At 43.4% G+C, this 20,780-nt stretch overlaps 1 protein-coding gene and 1 long non-coding RNA gene across 4 annotated transcripts in view, besides 1 other annotated feature; one reads left to right on the top strand and one right to left on the bottom strand.

Moving 5' to 3' along the window:
- The window catches only part of CLSPN-DT (CLSPN divergent transcript), a 36,846-nt gene extending 24,659 nt beyond the window's left edge, over window positions 1–12,187 (bottom strand). Inside the window, exons 1-2 of the long non-coding RNA NR_199050.1 lie at window positions 12,034–12,187; window positions 9,272–9,484 (exon numbers count right to left, since the gene is read on the bottom strand). This is a non-coding gene — a long non-coding RNA (CLSPN divergent transcript). The remainder of the gene's footprint in view (window positions 1–9,271; window positions 9,485–12,033) is intronic.
- Window positions 12,188–12,303: 116 nt separating this feature from the next.
- CLSPN (claspin) overlaps window positions 12,304–20,780 on the top strand; it is a 49,766-nt gene continuing 41,289 nt past the window's right edge. For all 3 annotated transcript variants that reach the window (NM_001330490.2, NM_001190481.2, NM_022111.4), the window contains exons 1-6: window positions 12,304–12,435; window positions 16,956–17,064; window positions 17,568–18,016; window positions 18,961–19,122; window positions 19,801–19,878; window positions 20,212–20,284. In NM_001330490.2, coding sequence (NP_001317419.1) covers window positions 12,412–12,435; window positions 16,956–17,064; window positions 17,568–18,016; window positions 18,961–19,122; window positions 19,801–19,878; window positions 20,212–20,284 — 895 coding nt within the window. In that variant the 5' untranslated portion in view covers window positions 12,304–12,411. The remainder of the gene's footprint in view (window positions 12,436–16,955; window positions 17,065–17,567; window positions 18,017–18,960; window positions 19,123–19,800; window positions 19,879–20,211; window positions 20,285–20,780) is intronic.
- Window positions 12,462–12,691: a silencer, noted in NCBI's record as "silent region_646". NCBI's record gives its function as "represses an Ori minimal core promoter by ATAC-STARR-seq in GM12878 lymphoblastoid cells {active_cell/tissue: GM12878}" and the evidence as "EXISTENCE:reporter gene assay evidence [ECO:0000049][PMID:35858748]".

Raw genomic sequence — 20,780 nt, 5'->3', positions numbered from 1 at the left:
AAGTTTTTTTTTCAGAGACAGGGTCTAGCTATGTTGCTCAGGCTGGTCTCAAACTCCTGGGCTCAAGTGATCCTCGTGCCTCAGCCTCCCAAAGTTCTGGGATTACAGCTGTGAGCCACTGCGTCCAGCCAACTATGAGAAATTAAAATGGCTATTATAAGAAGTGTAAGGCCGGATGCGGTAGTTCACAGCTGTAATCTCAGCACTTTGGGAGGCTAAACCAAGATGATCACTTGAGCCCAGAAAGTTGAGGCTGCAGTGAGCCATGATTATGCCACTGCTCTCCAGCCTGGGCAAGAGAGTGAGACTCTGTTTCAAAAAAAACAAAACAAAACAAAACAAAATATAGCTAAAAATCAATAGAGAAAATATGTGGAATATTAAGTTCACCCAAAAAAGGCAGGAAAGGAGAAACAGATGAAACAAAGAGAAGACAAATACCAAGATGACAGACTTAATTATCCTGATTTGATTATTACACATTGTACTTTTGTCTCAAAATACCACATGTACTCCATAAATATGTACAGCTATTATGTACTCATAAAAATAAAAAAGAAAAAGGCTGGGCGCGGTAGCTCATGCCTGTAATCCCAGCACTTTGGGAGGCCGAGGGAGGAGGATCCCTTGAGCTTCGGAGTTTGAGACCAGTCTGGGCAACATGGCAAACACCCGTCTCTACAAAAAACACAAAAATTAGTCAGATGTAGTGGTACGTGCCTGTAGTCTCAGCTACTTGGGAGGCTGAGGCAGGAGGCAGGCTTGAGCCCAGGAGGTGGAGGTTGTAGTGAGCCTACATCGTGCCACTGCACTACAGCCTGGGCAACCCTGTTTCAAAAAGAAAAAAATGAAAAAAAGAAGGGCATTTGCATTCATTTATCCTTCTCTCTCAATACAGACGTGTAGATATAAGAAATGGCAGAGAGGTTGTGATAACAATACCGTATTTAATGGTCACAATATGTAAGTCTCATTTGGTTCCATTAGAAGGAAAAATTATAGCATCATTGTGTCAGGCATTACATTTGGTGATTTTCTGAGTATTACTGGTAGCATCTGGGCTTATTGATCAAATACATAGTCTTATATTGGGAACTCTTATATCTAACACCTTTTAAAACTTGGCATTCCTAACAAGAGTTGATATCTATCTTTTAAGAAGATAATAGGGTCATGCATCTGTAAATACAGCAAAGAAGCATCCTGGAAGAGTGAAAGGAGCACTGGAATTGGAGTTAGAGAGGTGAGATTCAAATCCCAGCTAAGCTATTAATTAGCTCTGTGATCCTGAATAATAAACCCTCTCTCCTACTCTGGACCTCAGTTTCCATTTATAAAAATGGGGATAGTAAGAGTTACCCACTCTATAGGTTTGTTGTGTCAGCTAAATAATATATATGGAAGGCCTCATTCAAACAATGTCTAACCCATGATGGGAGCGTCTTTTAATTATCCATTACTGCATAACAAACCATACTAAACAACAAACAACAATCATTTATTTGCCCATAATTCTGTAATTTTTTTTTTTTTTTGAGACGGAGTCTTGCTTTGTCGCCCAGGCTGAAATGCAGTGGCACTATCTTGGCTCACTGCAACCTCTGCCTCCCAGGTTCAAGCAATTTTCCTGCCTCAGCTTCCCAAGTAGCCGGGACTACAGGCATGCGCCACCACACCCAGCTCATTTTTGTATTTTTAGTAGAGACAGGGTTTCACCATGTTGGCCAGGCTGGTCTCGAACTCCAGACCTCAGGTGATCCGCCTGCCCTGGCCTCCCAAAGTGCTGGGATTACAGGCGTGGGCCACTGAGCCCGGCCCATAATTCTGTAATTTGGCTGGGCTTAGCTGGTTGATTCTTCTCCTGGTCTCATCTTTGGTCACTCACATGGTTGTATTCATCTGGTGGCTAAATGGGGCTGGGTGGTCCAGGATGGTCATGTCTGGCAATTAGCTGTTGGCTGAGGTGTCTTGATTCTCTTCCATGTGGCCCATTCAATGGGATAACTTGGTTTCTTAAATAGTGGCCACAGGCCAGGCGTGGTGGCTCACTCCTGTAATCCCATCACTTTGGGAGGCTGAGGTGGGCGGATTGCCTGAGGTTGGGAGTTCAAGACCAGCCTGACCAACATGGAGAAACCCCGTCTCTACTAAAAATACAAAATTAGCCGGGCGTGGTGGTGTGTGCCTGTAATCCCAGCTACCTGGGAGGCTGAAGCAGGAGAATTGCTTGGACCCAGGAGGCAGAGGTTGCGGTAAGCCAAGATCGTGCCATTGCACTCCAGCCTGGGCAATAAGAGCAAAACTCCATCTCAAAAAAAAAAAAAAAATAGTGGCCGCAGTGTTCTGAGATAATGAAACTGAAAGCTGCAAAATCCCTTAAGGCTTAGCCTCAGAAACTATACAATGCTACCTTCTTTTTGTTGTTGTTGTTTTTGAGACAGAGTCTCATTCTCTAGCCCAGGCTGGAGTGCAGTGGTGTGATCATAGCTCACTGCATCCTTGACCTCCTGGGCTCAAGTGATCCTCCCACCTCAGCCTCCTGAGTAGCTGGGATTACAGGCATGAGCCACTGTGCCCAGTACAAAGCTACTTGCAATATATTCTGTTGATTTGGGGGGGCAGGGGAGTGGGGGAGAGGGTCTTGCTGTGTTGCCCAGGCTGGAGTGCAGTGGTGCAATCATGGCTCACTGTAGCTTGACCTCACCGGGCTCAGGTGATCCTCCTACCTCACCCTTCTGAGTAGCTGGGGCCACAGGCATGCACCACCAGCCCCAGCTAAATTTTGTATTTTTTGTAGAGATGGGGTTCCACCACGTTGCCCAGGCTGGTCTTGAACTCCTGGGCTCAAGCTGCCCACCTACCTCAGCCTCCTAAAGTATTGGGTTTACAGGCATGAGCAACCATACTCAGCTTATTCTGTTGATTAATACAAATAACTAGGACAGCCCAGATTTAAGAGATGTTGAATTAGATGGGAGGTACAGCAAAATCACATTGAAAAAGGGAGAGGGCACAGTCACCATTATTCTCTCAGTCTACCACAATGTTCAATAAAGGTTTGTGTGGTGAATGAATGACTGTATGTCTTATAGTTCTATTCTTCATATTCAAGGTCTGCTATGATCGTGCTTCTGGAGCACAAATTTCATATCTTTTCTATAACACTCATCACAATCTACTTCACAATTTATTTATTTGTAATGATAGTTTATCCTCAGAGAAAGATAACTTGTTTTGTTTTCTCTTATATCTCATGAGTCTAGCAGATATTCAGGCTCCAAATAGACACTCTGTAGATGCTTATTGAGTTGAATTTAAACAATCTTTAGATCTTATTCCCTACTTTCCTTACCATCATCACCTACTAGTCCCCTCTAAAGTCATTAGTTGGACATTTCCCTTAATATCTTACTATTATTCCTGTGTCCATGACTTTACGCATTCTATTTTCTCTGCCTAAAATACTTCTCCTTTTCCTCTTTGCCTATTGTAATGTTTCTCACTGACATTTAGCAACCTTGGTCTTATCCACAAAATGCCAAGAGATTCTGGGCCATTCTGACAATCATGATAAATCCCCTGGTTGAATAACACTGGTAAAACCATCCTTCGGGCCTATAGTAAGCACAAAATTATATTGTCTGTCCAATAACACCTCCTGTCTTAGAAGTTCCTAAGTGTTCCCCTATGCCAACTATATTGTGTTTGAAGGAGTTACTATATTCTCATAAGGCTCTACCCTTCTAGGTATAGTTGAATTATCTGGCATTCCTGAAGGGGGTCAAATATTAGCCAATCTATAAGCAGGAGCTGAAATGTAATAGAAAGTAGGAATGGGCCGGGCGCAGTGGCTCATGTCTGTAATCCCAGCACTTTGGGAGGCCGAGGTGGGCAGGTCACCTGAGGTCAGGAGTTCAAGACCAGCCTGGCCAATATGGCAAAACCCTGTCTCTACTAAAAATACAAAAATTAGGCTGGGCACGGTGGCTCACGCCTGTAATCCCAGCACTTTGGGAGGCCGAGTCGGGCAGATCACGAGGTCAGGAGATCGAGACCATCCTGGCTAACACGGTGAAACCCTGTCTCTATTAAAAATACAAAAAATTAGCCGGGCGTGGTTGTGGGCGCCTGTAGTCCCAGCTACTCGGGAGACTAAGGCAGGAGAATGGCGTGAACCCCAGAGGCGGAGCTTGCAGTGAGCCGAGATTGCGCCACTGCACTCCAGCCTGGGCAACAGAGCGAGACTGTCTCAAAAAAAAAAAAAAGAAAGAAAAAGAAAATATGCGAATGGAATACAAAAGAGTTCAGGTTTGGGGTGCTGTAGGGATAGCAGTTTGGAAATAGAATGGAGAGAAAGGCTGAGCCTGGGGACCACCTCTTTAGTCACCAGAAGTGACTCCAATTTGGACAATGAGTAGACCGGGGAGAGCTAGGAAGGAGAAATCTTTCATTCTACACATTAATTTGCACCAAGCTAAAGTGAGTCTGTATTTGGAATTAGTGACCTGCATTCTTAATTTTGGTGAATGGCATCACAATCCATCACTCACCAGTACAGAAATGTGGGTGTCACTGGAGTCACATTGGCTCCACTGTCCCTCGCCCCTCAAGGTTAATCATCCATCAAGCCCTGTCAGCTTTGCCTCTTTTCCCAATCCATCCTCTCCTCTCCATTGTTACTACCATTGACCTAGTTCAGGTTTCCATAATCTCCCACTTAGACAACTGGTCTTCCTGCCTCCAGTCTAATCCCCTTCCAATCCATGCTTCATATGCTGCTAGAATAATCTTTCTCAAGCATGTATCTGGTCATATCGCTCTCCTTAACAAAGTCCCTCCCCACACCCCATCTGCTCTGTTCATACTGTCTAAAAGCTAAACTTTTAGGCATGGCATTACAGACCTTTTGTTCCTGGTTTAACCTTCATTATCTAACCTGTTCATAACCTGTTTAGCCTTTATTCTGGCCACACCTCTACACCATGCTCTAGTCATACTGACCTACTTTTAGTTCCTCAAACACAACATGCTTTTTCAAGCCCCTTCACATACCTGGAAGGCCTTCTCCTCCCTGTACCAGCCTGGAGAACTTCAATTCATCTTTGAAACTCAGTTCAGGAGTCATCTCCCCACTTACTTACCCCAGGCACAGTCAGTTGTCCCTCCCTCAAGGACAAATAGCTCACTCCTGAAGCTACCTGTACACACTTCCATATCACACATGCTTGTTTGCTTGCCTGTCTCTGACTGCAGTGGGAAGCTCTCTGAGAACAAGATTGTATTTTATTTGTCTTTATATTCTTTGTATCTAGTAGGGGCTTAAAATAGGTGCTCAAGTGGATGAATATTTTATAGGTACTTTAGATTTCCCCAGTGTCATGGGAAGGGAGCTTCTGCACACAGTCTAGCTGACGGTGTGTGCTTATATACCTTGGGAAAAGGCCCTGGCATTATTTGTTTTTGTTTTTGTTTAGTCCCTAGTATCTTAACCACTTATTCAACAATCATTTATTATTTGTTTATTCTTTTTTTGAGACAGAGTCTCACTCTGTCACCCAGGCTGGAGTGCAGTGGTGCAATCTTGGCTCACTGCAACCTCCGCCTCCCGGATTCAAGCAATTCTCTGCTTCAGCCTCACAAATAGCTGGGATTACAGGCACCTGCCACCATGCCCGGCTAATTTTTTGTATTTTTAGTAGAGACTGGGTTTCACCATCTTGGCCAGGCTGGTCTTGAACTCTTGACCTTATGATCCACCTGCCTTGGCCTCCCAAAGTGCTGGGATTATAGGTGTGAGCCACTGCGCCTGGCCTTAACAATTATTTATTAAGCACCCACTATATTTCAGGCCCTACACCTTTAAAAAAAAATTGAGTCACGGTCTCGCTCCGTTGGCCAGGCTGGAGTGCAGTGGTGCGATCATGGCTCATTACAGCCTCAGGCTCAAGTGATCTTCCCACTTCAGCCTCCTAAGTGGCTGGGACCACAGGTGCTCGTCACCACTCTCAGCTAATTTTTAAAAAAATTTTTAGTAAAGATGAGGTCTCACTATGTTGCTCAGGCTGGTCTTGAACTTCTGAGCTCAAGCCTCCTCCTGTCTCAGCCTCCCAAAGTGCTGGGATTACAGACATGAGCCATTGTGTCCAGCCCTGTGCTGTTTTCTTTTATTCTATTATTATTTCCTTTTTTTATTTTCTTTTTTTTTTTTTGAGACCGAGTCTCACTCTGTTACCCAGGCTGGAGTGCAGTGGCGCGATCTTGGCTTACTGCAGCCTCTGCATCCCAGGTTCAAGCGATTCTCCTGCCTCAGACTCCCTGAGTAACTGGGATTACAGGCACCTGCCACTACACCCGGCTAATTTTTGTATTTTTAGCAGAGACGGGGTTTCACCATGTTGGCCAGGCTGGTTTTGAACTCCCGGCCTCAAGTGATCCACCTGCCTCGGCCTTCCAAAGTGCTGGGATAACAAGCATGAACCACCGTGTCCAGTGTCTTATTATTTTTTGAGACAGAGTCTCACTCTGTTGCCCAGGCTGGAGTGCAGTGGTGCAATCTTGGCTCACTGCAACCTCTGACTCCTGGGTTCAAGTGATTCTTGTGTGTCAGCCTCCGGAGTAGCTGGGATTACAGGCATGTGCCACCGCACTGGGCTGATTTTTGCATTTTTAGTAGAGACAGAGTTTCACCATCCTCTCCTCTTCATTGTTACTACCATTGATCTAGTTCAGGTTCCCATAATCTCCCACTTAAAAAACTGGTCTAGCTCCTATTATTCTGGTCGAACTCCTGGCCTCAAGTGATCCACCTGCCTCAGCCTCCCCAAAGTGCTGGGATTACAGGCTGAGCCACTGCACCGAGGCCCTGTACCATTTTAAAAGTCAGAGGCTACTATGATAAGCAAGAAAAACAGCTCTGACCTTCAAGCAGGGTACTCTCTAAGAGAAGCTTCATAACTGTATGGAATGACAATATGATTTTTTTGTTGTTGTTGAGACAGAGTCTCGTTCTGTCTCCCAGGCTGGAGTGCGGTGGTGTGATCTCGGCTCACTGCAACCTCTGCCTCACGAGTTTAAGCGATTCTCCTGCCTCAGCCTCCCGAGTAGCAGGACTACAGGCACACACCACCACGCCTGGCTAATTTTTTTTTTTTTTGTATTTTTAGTAGAGACGGGGTTTCACCGTGTTGCCCAGGCTGGTTGTGAACTCCTGAGCTTAGGCAATCCACCAGCCTCGGCCTCCTAAAGTGCTGGGATTACAGGCGTGAGCCACCTCACCTGGCCGAAATTATTTTTAAAATAAGATACTGGGAGATGCAGTTATTTTACCCCACCAAAGGAAAAATTAAATAACTTGAATAATCTTAAAATGACCCCCACGTCTCAAATGGTTTTAGGATAGAGTGGCATAACCAAGGTCTGCCACACAGTGGCAGTGTTTCCCCAGGGACGAAGGTAATTTAGCGGCCCAGGACTTTGGAAAAGCAGGTAGTTTTAAACTTTACTCCAGAGGAATAGCAGTACTAAAAATGTAACATGGTAATCTTCCTCAATTTGCAGAAAAAGAAATAAAAGACATAATTCAGTCAATTATCTTCCTCCAAACTTTCTTAAGCCTTTGGTTTCTGCTTTTGTCTGCCAAGGAGCACAATATAAATAGAGCACTTTTAGAACTGGCTGAGCATGTTAAGTTCCATGGCTGATTTTTTCCCAGACTTGTAATGTCAGAATTGCTTTTTAAATATTTTTTTGTGATATAATAATATATCCTACTAGTTAAAATGTTTCCGCATTCAAATGACCAGATTAACAGCATCAGTACTGCAAAATGCTTCCTATGAAGTGCTATACTTTCGGGTGCCCTACTCATTAAACCTATTTGAGAATCATGATCTCATCCAGTGTTTTCTAGTTACAAAAAAGAACAAGTTTCTTTTCTTTTTTTGAAATGGAGTCTTGCTCTGTCACCCAGGCTGGAGTGCAGTGGTGCACGATCTCAGCTCACCACAATCTCCGCCTCCCAGGTTCAAGCAATTCTCCTGCCTCAGCCTCCCAAGTAGCTGGGACTACAGGTGCCCGCCACCACGCCCGGCTAATTTTTGTGTTTTTAGTAGAGTCAGGGTTTCACCATGTTGGCCAGGCTGGTCTCAAACTCCTGGCCTCAAGTGATCTGACTGCCTCAGCCTCCCAAAATTCTGGGATTACAGGCATGACCCACTGCACCCAACCTCCAAAAAAGAACACATTTCTGAGAAACTAAATTAGTTACCTAAGTTTATGAAGCCCTCTATGGGACAGGTTCAGACTAATCCCTGTAAAGTGAGCACTCCAGATGTTTCCTTTGTTGCCATTTATCAACTTGATAAACAAGGATTGTTGGATGACTACAACAATGAAGGGACAGAGAGGTCAAGGTGATTCACAGGTTTCTAAACTGGTGAGTGGATATGGTTCCACTCACCAAAATTGAGAATACAGGTTGCTAATTCTAAATACAGACTCACTTTATCTTGGCACAAGTTAATGTGTAAAATAAAAGTTTCCTGGGGATGGGAGGAGTATGAAGTTGTTGCTTAATGGGCATAGAGTTTCAGTTTTGCAAGATGAAAGGAGTTCTAGGCCAGGCCCGTTGGGTCACACCTGTAATCCCAGCGCTTTGGGAGGCCGAGGTGCATGGGTCACTTGAGGTCAGGAGTTCAAGACTAGCCTGGCCAACATGGTGAAACCCCGTCTCTCCTAAGAATACATACAAAAAAGTAGCCAGGCGTGGTGGCAGGTGCCTGTAATCCCAGCTACTTGGGAGGCTGAGGCAGGAGAATTGCTTGAACCCGGGAGGCAGAGGTTGCAGTGAGCCAAGATAGCACCATTGCATTCCAGCCTAGGCAACAAGAGCAAAACTCCATTTCAAAAAAAAAAAAGAAGAGAAAAAGAAAAGAATTCTGAAGATTGGTAGATTGGTTACATAACAATTTGAATGTACTTCTGAACTGCATACTTTAAAATGGTTAAGATGGTAAATTTCATGTTATATATGTTTTACCACAATAAAAATTGAATGAAAGGTTTTCCTTTCCTAGCTTACCCATGTCCACCCATTGTTCAAATTGGAGCTTTCTCTCTTAGCTTCTGTGATGAGTGAAAAGGTGCTCCCCAAAGATATTTTAAAATACTAATATAAGGAATATTATTTCACTCATTCATTTTCAGAGGGAGCTCAAGAAGTTGTCAAGTGAATGAATTAATTAGTTCAACAAATATTTATCAGTTTTCCTACCTTGAACCTGGGATGTTCTAAGTCCTTTGTTCTCAAAGTGTGGTCTCCAGATCAGCAACACTAGCATCACCAGGGAATTTGTTAGTAATATACATTCCTGTGGGGCACGGTGGTTCATGCCCGTAATCCCAGCACTTTGCGAGGCCGAGATGTGCAGGTTGCTTGAGTCCAGGAGTTTGAGACCAGCTTGGGCAACATGGTGACACCCCGTCTCTACAAAATAAAAAATTAGCTGGGCATGGTGGTGCACACCTGTAGTCCCAGCCACTTGGGAGGCTGAGGTGGAAGGGTTGCTTGAGCCTGGGAGGTTGAGGCTGCAGTGAGCTGTGATCATGCCACTGCACTCAGGGAGAAAAAGAAAAAAAGGAAAGAAAGAAGTATACATCTCTGGACCCCACTTCAGACATACTGAATCAGAAACTTTGGCACTAGGACCCAACAATAGCTGTTTTTACCAGCCTTTCAGATTATTCTGATGCATGCTCAAGTTTAAGAAAGACAATTCTAGGTTGCAATGATACAGAGGCCAAGAAAACAAAACGCCTGTTCTCTTGGAGCAACAACAGACAAATAGATATAAATAAAATTTCAGGCAAAGGAAAGTGTTATCAGGGAAACCAGCATAGGATAAGGAGGCAGAACACAGAGGATGCTCAGGCAGGGTCTTTCTGAGGGGTATGAGCTCTGAAGTCACATAGAGTCTGAAAATTGGCTCCACCAGTTTCTAGCCTTTTAAAAGTCTGGTTTCCTCATCTTCTAAGAAAGAGATAATAATATTACAAGTTTACTCTGAAGATTAAATAAGATAACACTTATAAAATCCTTGCAACTGTTTCTGCCACTGAGTAAGGCTTCAATAAACGTTAGCCCTCCATATATGATGGGGAGTGCCATAGATGTATACCTGGGAATCGTTGATGTAGAAATTAATAGTAAATGGATGAAAAGGTGGATAAACCAAGACACAAAAAGAGAAGAGGATGGATGATGGGCTCTTGTTGGTGGGGACAGAAGTGGATTGAGAGATGGTGGGGAAGTAAAGAAATGAAGATGTGGAGAGGGAGCTTTTTTCTGAACCCAGCTAAAGGTGGAAACTTGGAAGAGGAGGCCAGTGGATTGGGTGAAGAACCAACCATTTGGTATACCTGTGACTGAGGAGGTTCTCAGGATGCAGGACTTTTAGTGCTAAAACTAGGAAAGTCCTGGGCAAGCTGGGCCAAGCTGGCCACACTGGCAGTGGATATGACCATGGAGGGTGAAGTGAGCAATAAATACTCTGACCTTTCTTTCCTGGTGGCCTCTCATCTCCTTACAGTAACCTTATAAGGTGTCTTTACAGGGGCCTGACCCAACCAGAAGGGCAAGGGAGCTGGGATAATACAGTCTAGAGAGGTCAGCCTTGCCTTGACACACACCAGGGTAAAGGAAGGACAGAGAATTGACCTGGAGAGGCAAAAAATAATGGCCAGCACAGTGGCAAAACTGGGATTAGAATTGTCTGGGATAGGCCAGGTGCGGTGACTCACACCTGTAATCCCAGCACTTTGGGAGGCTGAGACGGGCGGATCACGAGGTCAGGAGTTCAAGATCAGCCTGGCCAAAATGGTGAAATCTTGTCTCTACTAAAGTTACAAAAAATTATCTGAGCGTGGTGGCACATGCCTATAATCCTAGCTACTCAGGAGGCTGAGGCAGGAGAATCGCTTGAACCCGGGAGGCGGAGGTTGCAGTGAGCCGAGATCACGCCATTGCACCCAGCCATGGTGACAGGGAGAGACTCTGTCTCAACAAAAAAAAAAAAAAAAAAAAAAGAACTGTGTCTGGGATAAACCTGATTTCAGAGCTTCAATTCTTTTTCCAGCCTTGTTTAAAGGTAGAATGCCCTCTAGGAGTGATGAGTGCTTTCTACATCCTCAAATTAACTCTACAGAGAATTATAAAGATTATCCAACCATATTCTTTGGTATCTGAGCAGCCCACAAAACTTTTTTCTTTAGAGACAAGGTCTCCCTCTATCGCCTACGCTGAAGTGCAGTGGTGCGATCATAACTCACTCTAACCTCAAACTCCTGGACTCAAGCCATCCTCCCACCTCGGCCTCCCAAAGCGTTGAGATTACAAGCGTGAGCCATGGAGCCCGGCCCTCTTTAAAAAATAAAAGTGGGCCGGGCACAGTGGCTCACGCCTGTGAGGGGTATGAGGCCTCCCAGCACTTTGGGAGGCCGAGGCGAGGATCATTTGAGATCAGGAGTTCGAGACCAGCCTGGCCAACATGGTGAAACCCCGTCTCTACTAAAAATACAAAAATTAGCCAGGGGTTGGTGGCGGGTGCCTGTAATCCTAGCTACTCAGGAGGCTGAGGCACGAGAATCGCTTGAACCCGGGAGGCGGAGGTTGCAGTGAGCCGAGATCGCGCCACTGCATTTCATCCTGGCTAACAGAGGGAGACTCCATCTCAAAAAAAAAAAAAGTGTGTGTGTATACACATACATGTGTATGTGTATATATGTGTATGTATATATGTGTGTACATATGTGTGTGTGTGTGTATATATATATATATATATATATATATATATATATATATATATTCAGTGGTAAGTGTCATGTACAAGAGGCACACAGGATCTAGCTGCTCCAGAAATGAAGTCAGTGGAGAAAATCCCCACGGGAACCTTGGAATTCCTCTAAAAAGTTCAGGTACAGGACACTCCCAGGTGCCCAGGAACCGTTTCCCAGCTCACTTCCCCCCGAAAGACTCACCCCTCCAATCGCACTCGATGCTTTGGCAAGTGTCAAAGGTCAAAGACCACGGCTCGCCTGGTACCGACTGCCCCGCCCCCGTGCACCTCCAGCTCCCCCAGGCTCCGCTACCAGCAGCTGCGACCCGCCAACTCAGCCTGGGTAATAGGAGATTGGGCGGCCAGAGGCGCTGCGTGATTGGTGGGTCGGAAGGGGGCGGGGACTCGCTGGAAAGCCCCCTCTGGATTGGTGCAAACCATCTGGGTGGGACCTCCACTCTGGCTGGGCGGGAAAGCAAGAACAGCACTGCTGGGCTGGAGACGGCGGGAGCCGCTGCTCTCCGGCTGAGGGAATCAGAGACAGCTCCGTCCCTAGTGGAGCGCAGGGGAGGCAGAAGTCATGACAGGCGAGGTGGGTTCTGAGGTGAGTTTATGCACACGCCCCCCACGGGGGCTTAGAAGGCCGGGCACCGAGAGGTTAGGTGGGGCCGGGGTAGACCCCGCTGACCCGAGGCGCCCGGGCGGGAGGACTGCGGCTCCCGGCGTTCGCCGCGCCGGCTCCCGCGGCCTCGAGACTCGGCCGGGATGGGTTCCGACCGGGCATCCCGTCCCGCCGCCGGGCTTCCCGCGCTTCGGGCTCCGTGGCCGGAGAGCTCCAGGTCTCTGCGGCGCGCACTGCCGGCAGCCCAGCCCCTCTTCAGCCGGTTCCTGCCGCCAGCCCTCCCCTTTGGCGCGTTTCCTGTCGCGGAAGCTCCTCCCCTCAGGGTGCTCTGAAAGCCGGGAGGCTCTAGCCGAACCCGGCCGCAGCGGTGCGGGGGGATTCTCCGCAGAGAGAGGGCGAGCGAGGGTGTTAGGGAGTTCCACACTGGGCCTGGGAGGGGCCCTGGAGGTCATCGCGCGCAGGCCCTTTGCGTTTTCCGACCGGGCCCCGAGTGGGGAAGTCACCGCTGGGGCTCCTGGCTGGTGGCTGGCAGCTCCCTGGCGAAATTGGGCATAGAAAACAGATGTTTCCAGAGCTGTGTCCTTTCTGGGCCGGATTCGGGCAAGGCACTCCCGCCTTAGGAGCAAAATTTAAAGGGGCGCCAAAACCCTCAATCAAACTCATATTTTAATGCAATATTTTTAAAAAACCAAAATTAATGCAAAAACTTTTTATGATTTGATATTGAACAAAATATCAGACGTTTAAACAAAGACGAGATCCGACCAGTCATTTGCACGACCTTGCCTCAATCACCTCACCCTAATTCCATCCCTGTTTCCAATAAACTTTATTTACAAAAGCGGGCATATTATTTACCTCATGAGCTGTAGATTATTGATTTAATTTTTTAAAAAATATTGCATTAATGTTATTCATTTTGATTACTGAATTTTTTGAGACCTCACCCCACCCTGTTACTGGCCCTGCCCTTTGACGTTGCTGCAAATTGCCTAGAAGATAATCGTCATTCAAAGCAGCCCTATTCCTTGAGCTGTCTGGTTACCTAAATTCGGTTTCCACACTCACAAACAGAAGTAATAGTTTTACTGCTTTGGATTGTTGAGAGGATCATCAGTGCATACATATTAATTCTCAGCAATCCCAGCACTTCGGGAGGCTAAGGCCGGCAGATTGCTTGAGCTCAAGAGTTCGAAACCAGCCTGCATAGAAAACATGGCAAAACCCCGCCTCTACAAAAAAAAAAAAATTAGCCGGGCGTCGCCTGTGGTCCCAGCTACTCGGTCCCAGCTACTCGGGTGGCTGAGGTGAGAGAATCCTTTGGGCCTGGGAGGTCAAGGCTGCAGTGAGCCATGATCCTGCCACTGCACTCCAGCCTAGGTGACAGAGTGAGACACTGTATCAAAAAAAAAAAAAATTTGTACCTTGCATTCAAATCAATTTAATAATTTTTTTTTTTTTGAGACGGAGTCTCGCTCTGTTGCCCAGACTGGAGTGCAGTGGCACAATCTCGGCTCACTGCAACTTCTGTCTCCTGGATTCAAGCGATTCTCCTGCCCCAGCCTCCTGAGCAGCTGGGACTACAGGCACACACCACCACGCCCAGCTAATTTTTGTATTTTTAGTAGATACGGGGTTTTACTGTATTGGCCAGGCTAGTCTCGAACTCCTGACCTTGTGATCCACCCACCTCGGCCTCCCAAAGTGCTGGGATTACAGGCGTGAGCCACCATGCCTGACCAATTTAATAATTTTTTGAGAAACCACTCAGCTGAGGCCTTGTGCCCTGTTACATTACTGATGTTCATATTTCTCCCTTTATTAATAAGTTGATTCAGAGCCCTGAGAACACTAAGGAGGTAGACTTGGCATCTAGGGTTAGCTTTAAGGTCACTAACTGATCAAGTCACCTAACACACCCCTCCTCCTTAGGTTTTTATTTGCGACTTTTTAAACTGTCTTATTTAGAAATTTTCAAACCTATACAACCGTAGAAAGGATGGTATAATGAACCCATCACCTTACTTCAACTACAGTTTGAATATCTCTCGTCTGAAATGCTTGGGACCAGAAGCGTTTTGAATTTCAGATTCATTTTGGATTTTGGAATATTCGCATACACATAATGAGATATCTTGGGGGAGGGACCCAAGTCTAAACATGAAATTCAGTTATATTTCATATATACCTTACACACATAGTCTGAAGGTAATTTTATACAGCATTTTAAAATAATTTCGTGCATGAAGCAAAGGTTTTACTGCAGCTCATCATATGAGGTCAGGTGTGGAATTTTCATCTAGTGGCATCATGTCAGTGCTCAAATATTTTGGAATTGGGAGCATTTCAGATTTTCAGGTTAGAGATGTTCAACCTGTATTTTCAAGTCATGGCCAATCTTGTTTTATTCATACAGCTACCCATTTTTCCTCTCACAGGATTATTTGGAAGAAAATCCAAGATATCATATTATTTGAACCACAAAGATTTTAGTGTGCATATCTAACAAACAAGAGCTTTCCAAAAATAGATACTACGATATTATTACCACACCTAAGAAGTATCTAGTCAGTGTTCAGATTTCTTTGACTCAGAGATATTTCATTTATTTTTATATGCCACTTTAGCATAATTATTTACATTTTTAGTTTTTTGAATCATCATCCGAAGTTGGCATTTTGTAATTGTTTATATTATATATGTGTATATATGCATATATGTATGTATTTTAAGATATACATACATATATAAAGCATACATTTATGTATATAGAAATATACAGGGCCGGTTGTGGTGGCTTACGCTTGTAATTCCAGCATTTTGGGAGGCTGAGGCAGGCGGATCACCTGAGGTCAAAAGTTCGAGACCAGCCTGGCTAACATTGTGAAACCCCGTTTCTACAAAAAATTAGCCGGGCATGGTGGCACGCACCTGTAATCCCAGCTACTCGGGAGGCTGAGGCTGGAGAATCGCTTGAACCCAGGAGGCGGAGGTTGTAGGGAGCCAAGATCGTGCCATTGCACTCCAGCTTGGGCAATAAGAGCGAAACTCCGTCTCAAAAAAAGAAAAAAGGAAATATACATATAGCCGGGCGTGGTGGCTCACGTCTGTAATCCCACCACTTTGGGAGGCTGAGGCGGGCGGATCACCTGAGGTCAGGAGTTGGAGACCAGCCTGACTAACATGGAGAAACCCCATCTCTACTAAAAATACAAAATTAGCCAGACGTGGTGACACATGCCTGTAATCCCAGCTACTCGGGAGGCTGAGGCAGGAGAATCGCTTGAACCTGGGAGGCAGAGGTTGCGGTGAGCCGAGATCGCGCCGTTGCGCTCCATCCTGGGCGACAACGGCAAAACTCCATCTCAAAAAAAAAGAAATATACACATAGCATATAGAAATATACATACATATATAAATATATAGAAATATACATACGTACACACATATATACATTCACTTATGTGTTAACTTTCTTTATAGGTTTCTCTCCCTCTCTTTTTTTTTTCTTTGCAATATATTGTTAAAGAAACCGGCCGGGTGCAGTGGCTCATACCTGTAATCCCAGCATTTTGGGAGGCCGAGGTGGGCGGATCACCTGAGGTCAGGAGTTTGCAACCGGCCTGGCCAGCATGGTGAAACCTTGTCTCTATTAAAATAGAAAAAATTAGCTGGGTGTGTTGATGTGCGCCTGTAATCCCAGCTACTCAGGAGGCTGAGGCAGGAGAATCGCTTGAACCCAGGAGGCAGAGGTTGCAGTGAGCCGAGATTGCACCACTGCACTCCAGCCTGGGTGACAGAGCGAGATTCTATCTCAAAAAAAAAAAAAAAAAAGAGAGAGAGAGAGAAAGAAACCACCCAGTTTGACTTGTAGAATTTCCCACGTCTAGATTGCATATCTGTGGTATTATTCAACATGTTCCCCTATTCCCTCTATTTCCTATAACTTGCTAGTTAGATCTAGAGACTTGATAGGATTCAAATTTGATTGTTCTGTCAGGAATACTTTATGGCTAGTATTGGGTACTTCTATTAGGCAGCACATAATGTCTGGTTGTTTCTCTTTTGGTGATGTTAGCAGCCATTAATGATAATTGCCTAGGTCTGTTATTTAATTGAGGGTTGATAAAATTGTGATAATCTAATTCTATCATTTATTAATTCATTAGGATATTTCTCTAAATAGAAACTTCCCCTCATCAATTGTATGGATATATTGGGGAACAGTTCACACAGAAAAGGCATAATAAATGCTTGATTCTTTTCATTTTTTTTTTTACCGTTACTAAAAGAGTTGGTTCTGTTAGCATCCTTCAAAGGTGAAAAATGAACTTTTGTTTGTTTGTTGTCCAGTAATTCTAAATGTCATCCCTTCAAGGAACCATTGTATTTGGTTCTTTCCTTAGTTCAGGTTGATGATCCCACGATGATTTGTGTGTCATTATGTACTTGGAGCTTTCGGTCACCTGCTGGTTGATATAAAGTATATTGTCATTTTCTAGGTTCACCTAGAAATCAATGACCCAAACGTCATTTCACAAGAGGAAGCAGATAGTCCTTCAGATAGTGGACAGGGCAGCTATGAAACAATTGGACCCTTGAGTGAAGGAGGTTTGTAATAGTACTTTTATTTTTAGGAATAGGTTGCGGGAGCCTCAGTTGTAAGTAGATTGGATTGATTTCATTATTCTCTTGATTTATTACATTATTAATGCCCCATCCTTATTGTTTGTTTTATTATAAAAGCAAAATAACAGTGCTTGTACCTTTTTGAAACTATGTTATATTGTTGAATGTCTAATAGCTACCATATTGCCTGGTTAATTGCATTCATCCTATAATAAAAGGAATTTTAACACCTGCCGGAGGTTAGAACAACTTTACACATTGTAAATATACGTAAAATTACATTTCCCAGTAAGAGACATTTTTCCCAGGGAAAATGTTTTTCAAAATGTATTTTTAGATTTGCTTTGCTACAATCAGTTCTTAACAGTAGTCACGTAATTTCACAATGTTATATATCACTTGTATAAAAATATATTTTTGAGGAGTAGTGGGACTAGGAGGAAGATCAAATGATGGTATAATTAAAAGAAAATTGTTTCCTCCAGATTCAGATGAAGAGATATTTGTAAGTAAGAAGTTGAAAAACAGGAAGGTTCTACAAGACAGTGATTCCGAAACAGAGGACACAAATGCCTCTCCAGAGAAAACTACCTATGACAGTGCCGAGGAGGAAAATAAAGAGAATTTATATGCTGGGAAAAATACAAAAATCAAAAGGATTTACAAAACTGTGGCAGACAGTGATGAAAGTTACATGGAAAAGTCTTTGTATCAGGAAAATCTTGAAGCGCAAGTGAAACCTTGCTTAGAGCTGAGTCTTCAGTCTGGAAACTCTACAGACTTTACCACTGACAGAAAGAGTTCCAAAAAGCACATACATGATAAAGAAGGAACTGCAGGAAAAGCAAAAGTAAAATCAAAAAGAAGACTTGAGAAAGAGGAGAGAAAAATGGAAAAAATTAGACAGCTAAAAAAGAAGGAAACAAAAAACCAGGTACATTTTAAAGAATAATTTGCTATTGCTTGGGTAGGTTAACATTTTAGAAAAGGTTGCTGTTAGTACTTGAGGTTGTTTCTGCTCTCTGACTATTGCTTTGAATTGACTATTTTGTGTTGAGAATTATTCTCAATAGGTATGTGATTTAAAACTAACTGGTCTTGGCCAGGTGCAGTGGTGCATACGTCTAATCCCAGCACTTTGGGAGGCTGAGGCCAGAGGGTCACTTAAGCCCAGGAGTTCGAGAACAGCCTAGGCAACAGAGTGAGATCCCATCTCTACAAAAAATTTAAAAATTAGTTGGGTGTGGTGGCCGTAGTCCCAGCTGTAGTCCCAACTACTTGGGAGGGTGAGGTGGGAGAATCACTTGAGCCCAGGAAGTCGAGGCTGCAATGAAGCTGTAATTGTACCACTGCATTCCAGCCTGGATGACAGAGTGAGACCCTGTCTCAAAAAAAAAAAAAACAAAAACCAAAAAAACAAAACTTATTGGTCTTATTCTATTTTGGGTATGCAGAGGACATTTCCAAATAAATGGGTTTCTGATTTTCTTTATGAGCACATGGAGTAATTCTTTGCTGTCTCTGAGCTGATGAAAATTAACTGAAAGAAGGCTTTTTTATGCATCTATCAGTCAGTAGTCTTGTTTGCTAACTAGAAAAACCATCCTCAAATTTATAAACTAGTTGCTTAACAAGTATTTTACTTCAAAAAAATATTTACTGTTTATTAAGTTAGTTTTAGACAGTTGCATAAAATCACAACTTGGACTTCAAAGGATACATGTGAGTTAGAAACCAGTAAGAATGTTCTAGATTTTATATGCTTGTCTGTTGATGAAACATGGGCTTTTTCTGGCCTGATCCAAATTGCCATATGATGTTGTGAAATACTGGATTTTTAAATGATTGGATTATGCTTTTTGTTTATGTATTACTTAGGAAGATGATGTAGAACAGCCATTTAATGACAGTGGCTGTCTTCTTGTGGATAAAGACCTTTTTGAAACTGGGTTGGAGGATGAAAATAACTCTCCATTGGAAGATGAAGAGTCATTAGAATCAATAAGAGCAGCTGTAAAAAACAAAGTAAAAAAGCACAAGGCAAGTAAAGCATGATTGCAATAAGAGTTAATCAACTGCTTCTGACCTTTGCTATATTTTTAATTTACTGTTGGAACCTTAATTTTTTTTTTAACTGAAGAAAAACTTGTGTCAGTTGACTTAAGTGTTTCAGCTGTTAATTTTGGAGACTTGCAGTACAAGTGATAGACATGCTAACTTCTTTGGAAACTAGTGTTTTGTTATTACCCTTTTAGGAATGCTGAAAAAAAAAACCACTAAGATATTTGATGGTGTAGTAAGATGCAGGTAAATAATAGGGAAGAGATGTAAATTTTGCAATCCTATAGCCTTTGAGAAATGAACCCTATAGGGTTTCAGGAAGGGTATCAAAGAGAGGCATCAGTCAAAACATTGTTGTCCCGAGTGTTTGGAAGCATAATTTTTCTTCCTAAGATTTTTTTTTAGCTTCCTGCGAGTTATTATCCCTCTTTAGGGAAAGATGTAAGCAGAGGTAAAAGAAATAAGGGTCCAGACTCCATCTGAGGTATCTGTTTTCTAAGCATAATAGGATGCTGTGTGTTTAATAATTTCTAGTTGATGATTATTGATTTATTAATGTAGCATGATGTGGTGTTGGACTACAAAAGTAGTCTTCAGCTAAAGCATCCTCTTATTTGAATTTCGTTTTTGTCCTAATCAACCTGCCATTTCTTTTAGAAAAAAGAACCATCTTTGGAGAGTGGGGTCCATTCATTTGAGGAAGGAAGTGAGTTATCAAAAGGAACCACGAGGAAGGTGAGGTAGAGCCCTGTATATTAGTCACACTGATCTCTTTACACAGGAGATTATAGATTTCTTAGGGATAAATATTTTATTTTGTCTATCATATTTTTCTGTTACCCATCATATTGCTTTGTACATAGTAGGAACAAAATATGGATTGGATTGAACAAATTCTCTGAGACTTGGGAATAAATGAATTCCTTGAGTTTATACTGCATTTGGGCTTACTCATGCTTACTATTTCCTTTCCTCTTTTCTTGGAGAGAGCAAACTCTTGAGTGATGAATATCTATCTTTCTGGATATTCATATAATTAATGTAGTCTCACTTCTTGTTTTCTTTAAGGAAAGAAAGGCAGCCAGATTAAGTAAAGAAGCATTAAAACAACTGCATAGTGAGACTCAGCGCCTTATTCGAGGTAATGCAACCCAGTAAACTTTGAGGCAAAATCACAACATTTCTTTGTAAGCTCAACTTGGATGTTGGGGACTTTTATTTTTTTAACACTTCTAATGTGAACTCAGGTTATAATATTAAGTTTAGAATTGATCTTGGTGAAAGGCCATTGTTCTAAAGCCCTTGGAACATTAGTATAAACTGAAGAAATTTTCAGAACTGTAGTGCAGGTAAGGAGGAAATTTTTTAATGGTTGTCTATGGACTGATTGTGTCAGGATTCTTTGGAGAGGTAGTAATCCCTCCCTATTTGCAGTTTTGGTTACCTGTGTCAGCCATGGTCCATGGAACTTAAAAATATCATCCCTTTGTCCAGAGTATCACGCTGTATACATTACCTGCCTGTTAGTCCGTTAGTAGCCCTCTCAGTTATCAGATCAAAAAAACACTGCATGGTTTAGTACCATCTGCAGTTTCAGGCATCCACTGCAGGTCTTGGAATGTGTCTGTCTGGATAAG

This window comes from Homo sapiens, chromosome 1 (genome assembly GCF_000001405.40).
Source record: "Homo sapiens chromosome 1, GRCh38.p14 Primary Assembly".
Classification (NCBI taxonomy): domain Eukaryota; kingdom Metazoa; phylum Chordata; class Mammalia; order Primates; family Hominidae; genus Homo; species Homo sapiens.
Note: the sequence above shows the minus strand (reverse complement) of the source record. Positions and strands in the feature narration are given on the sequence as shown.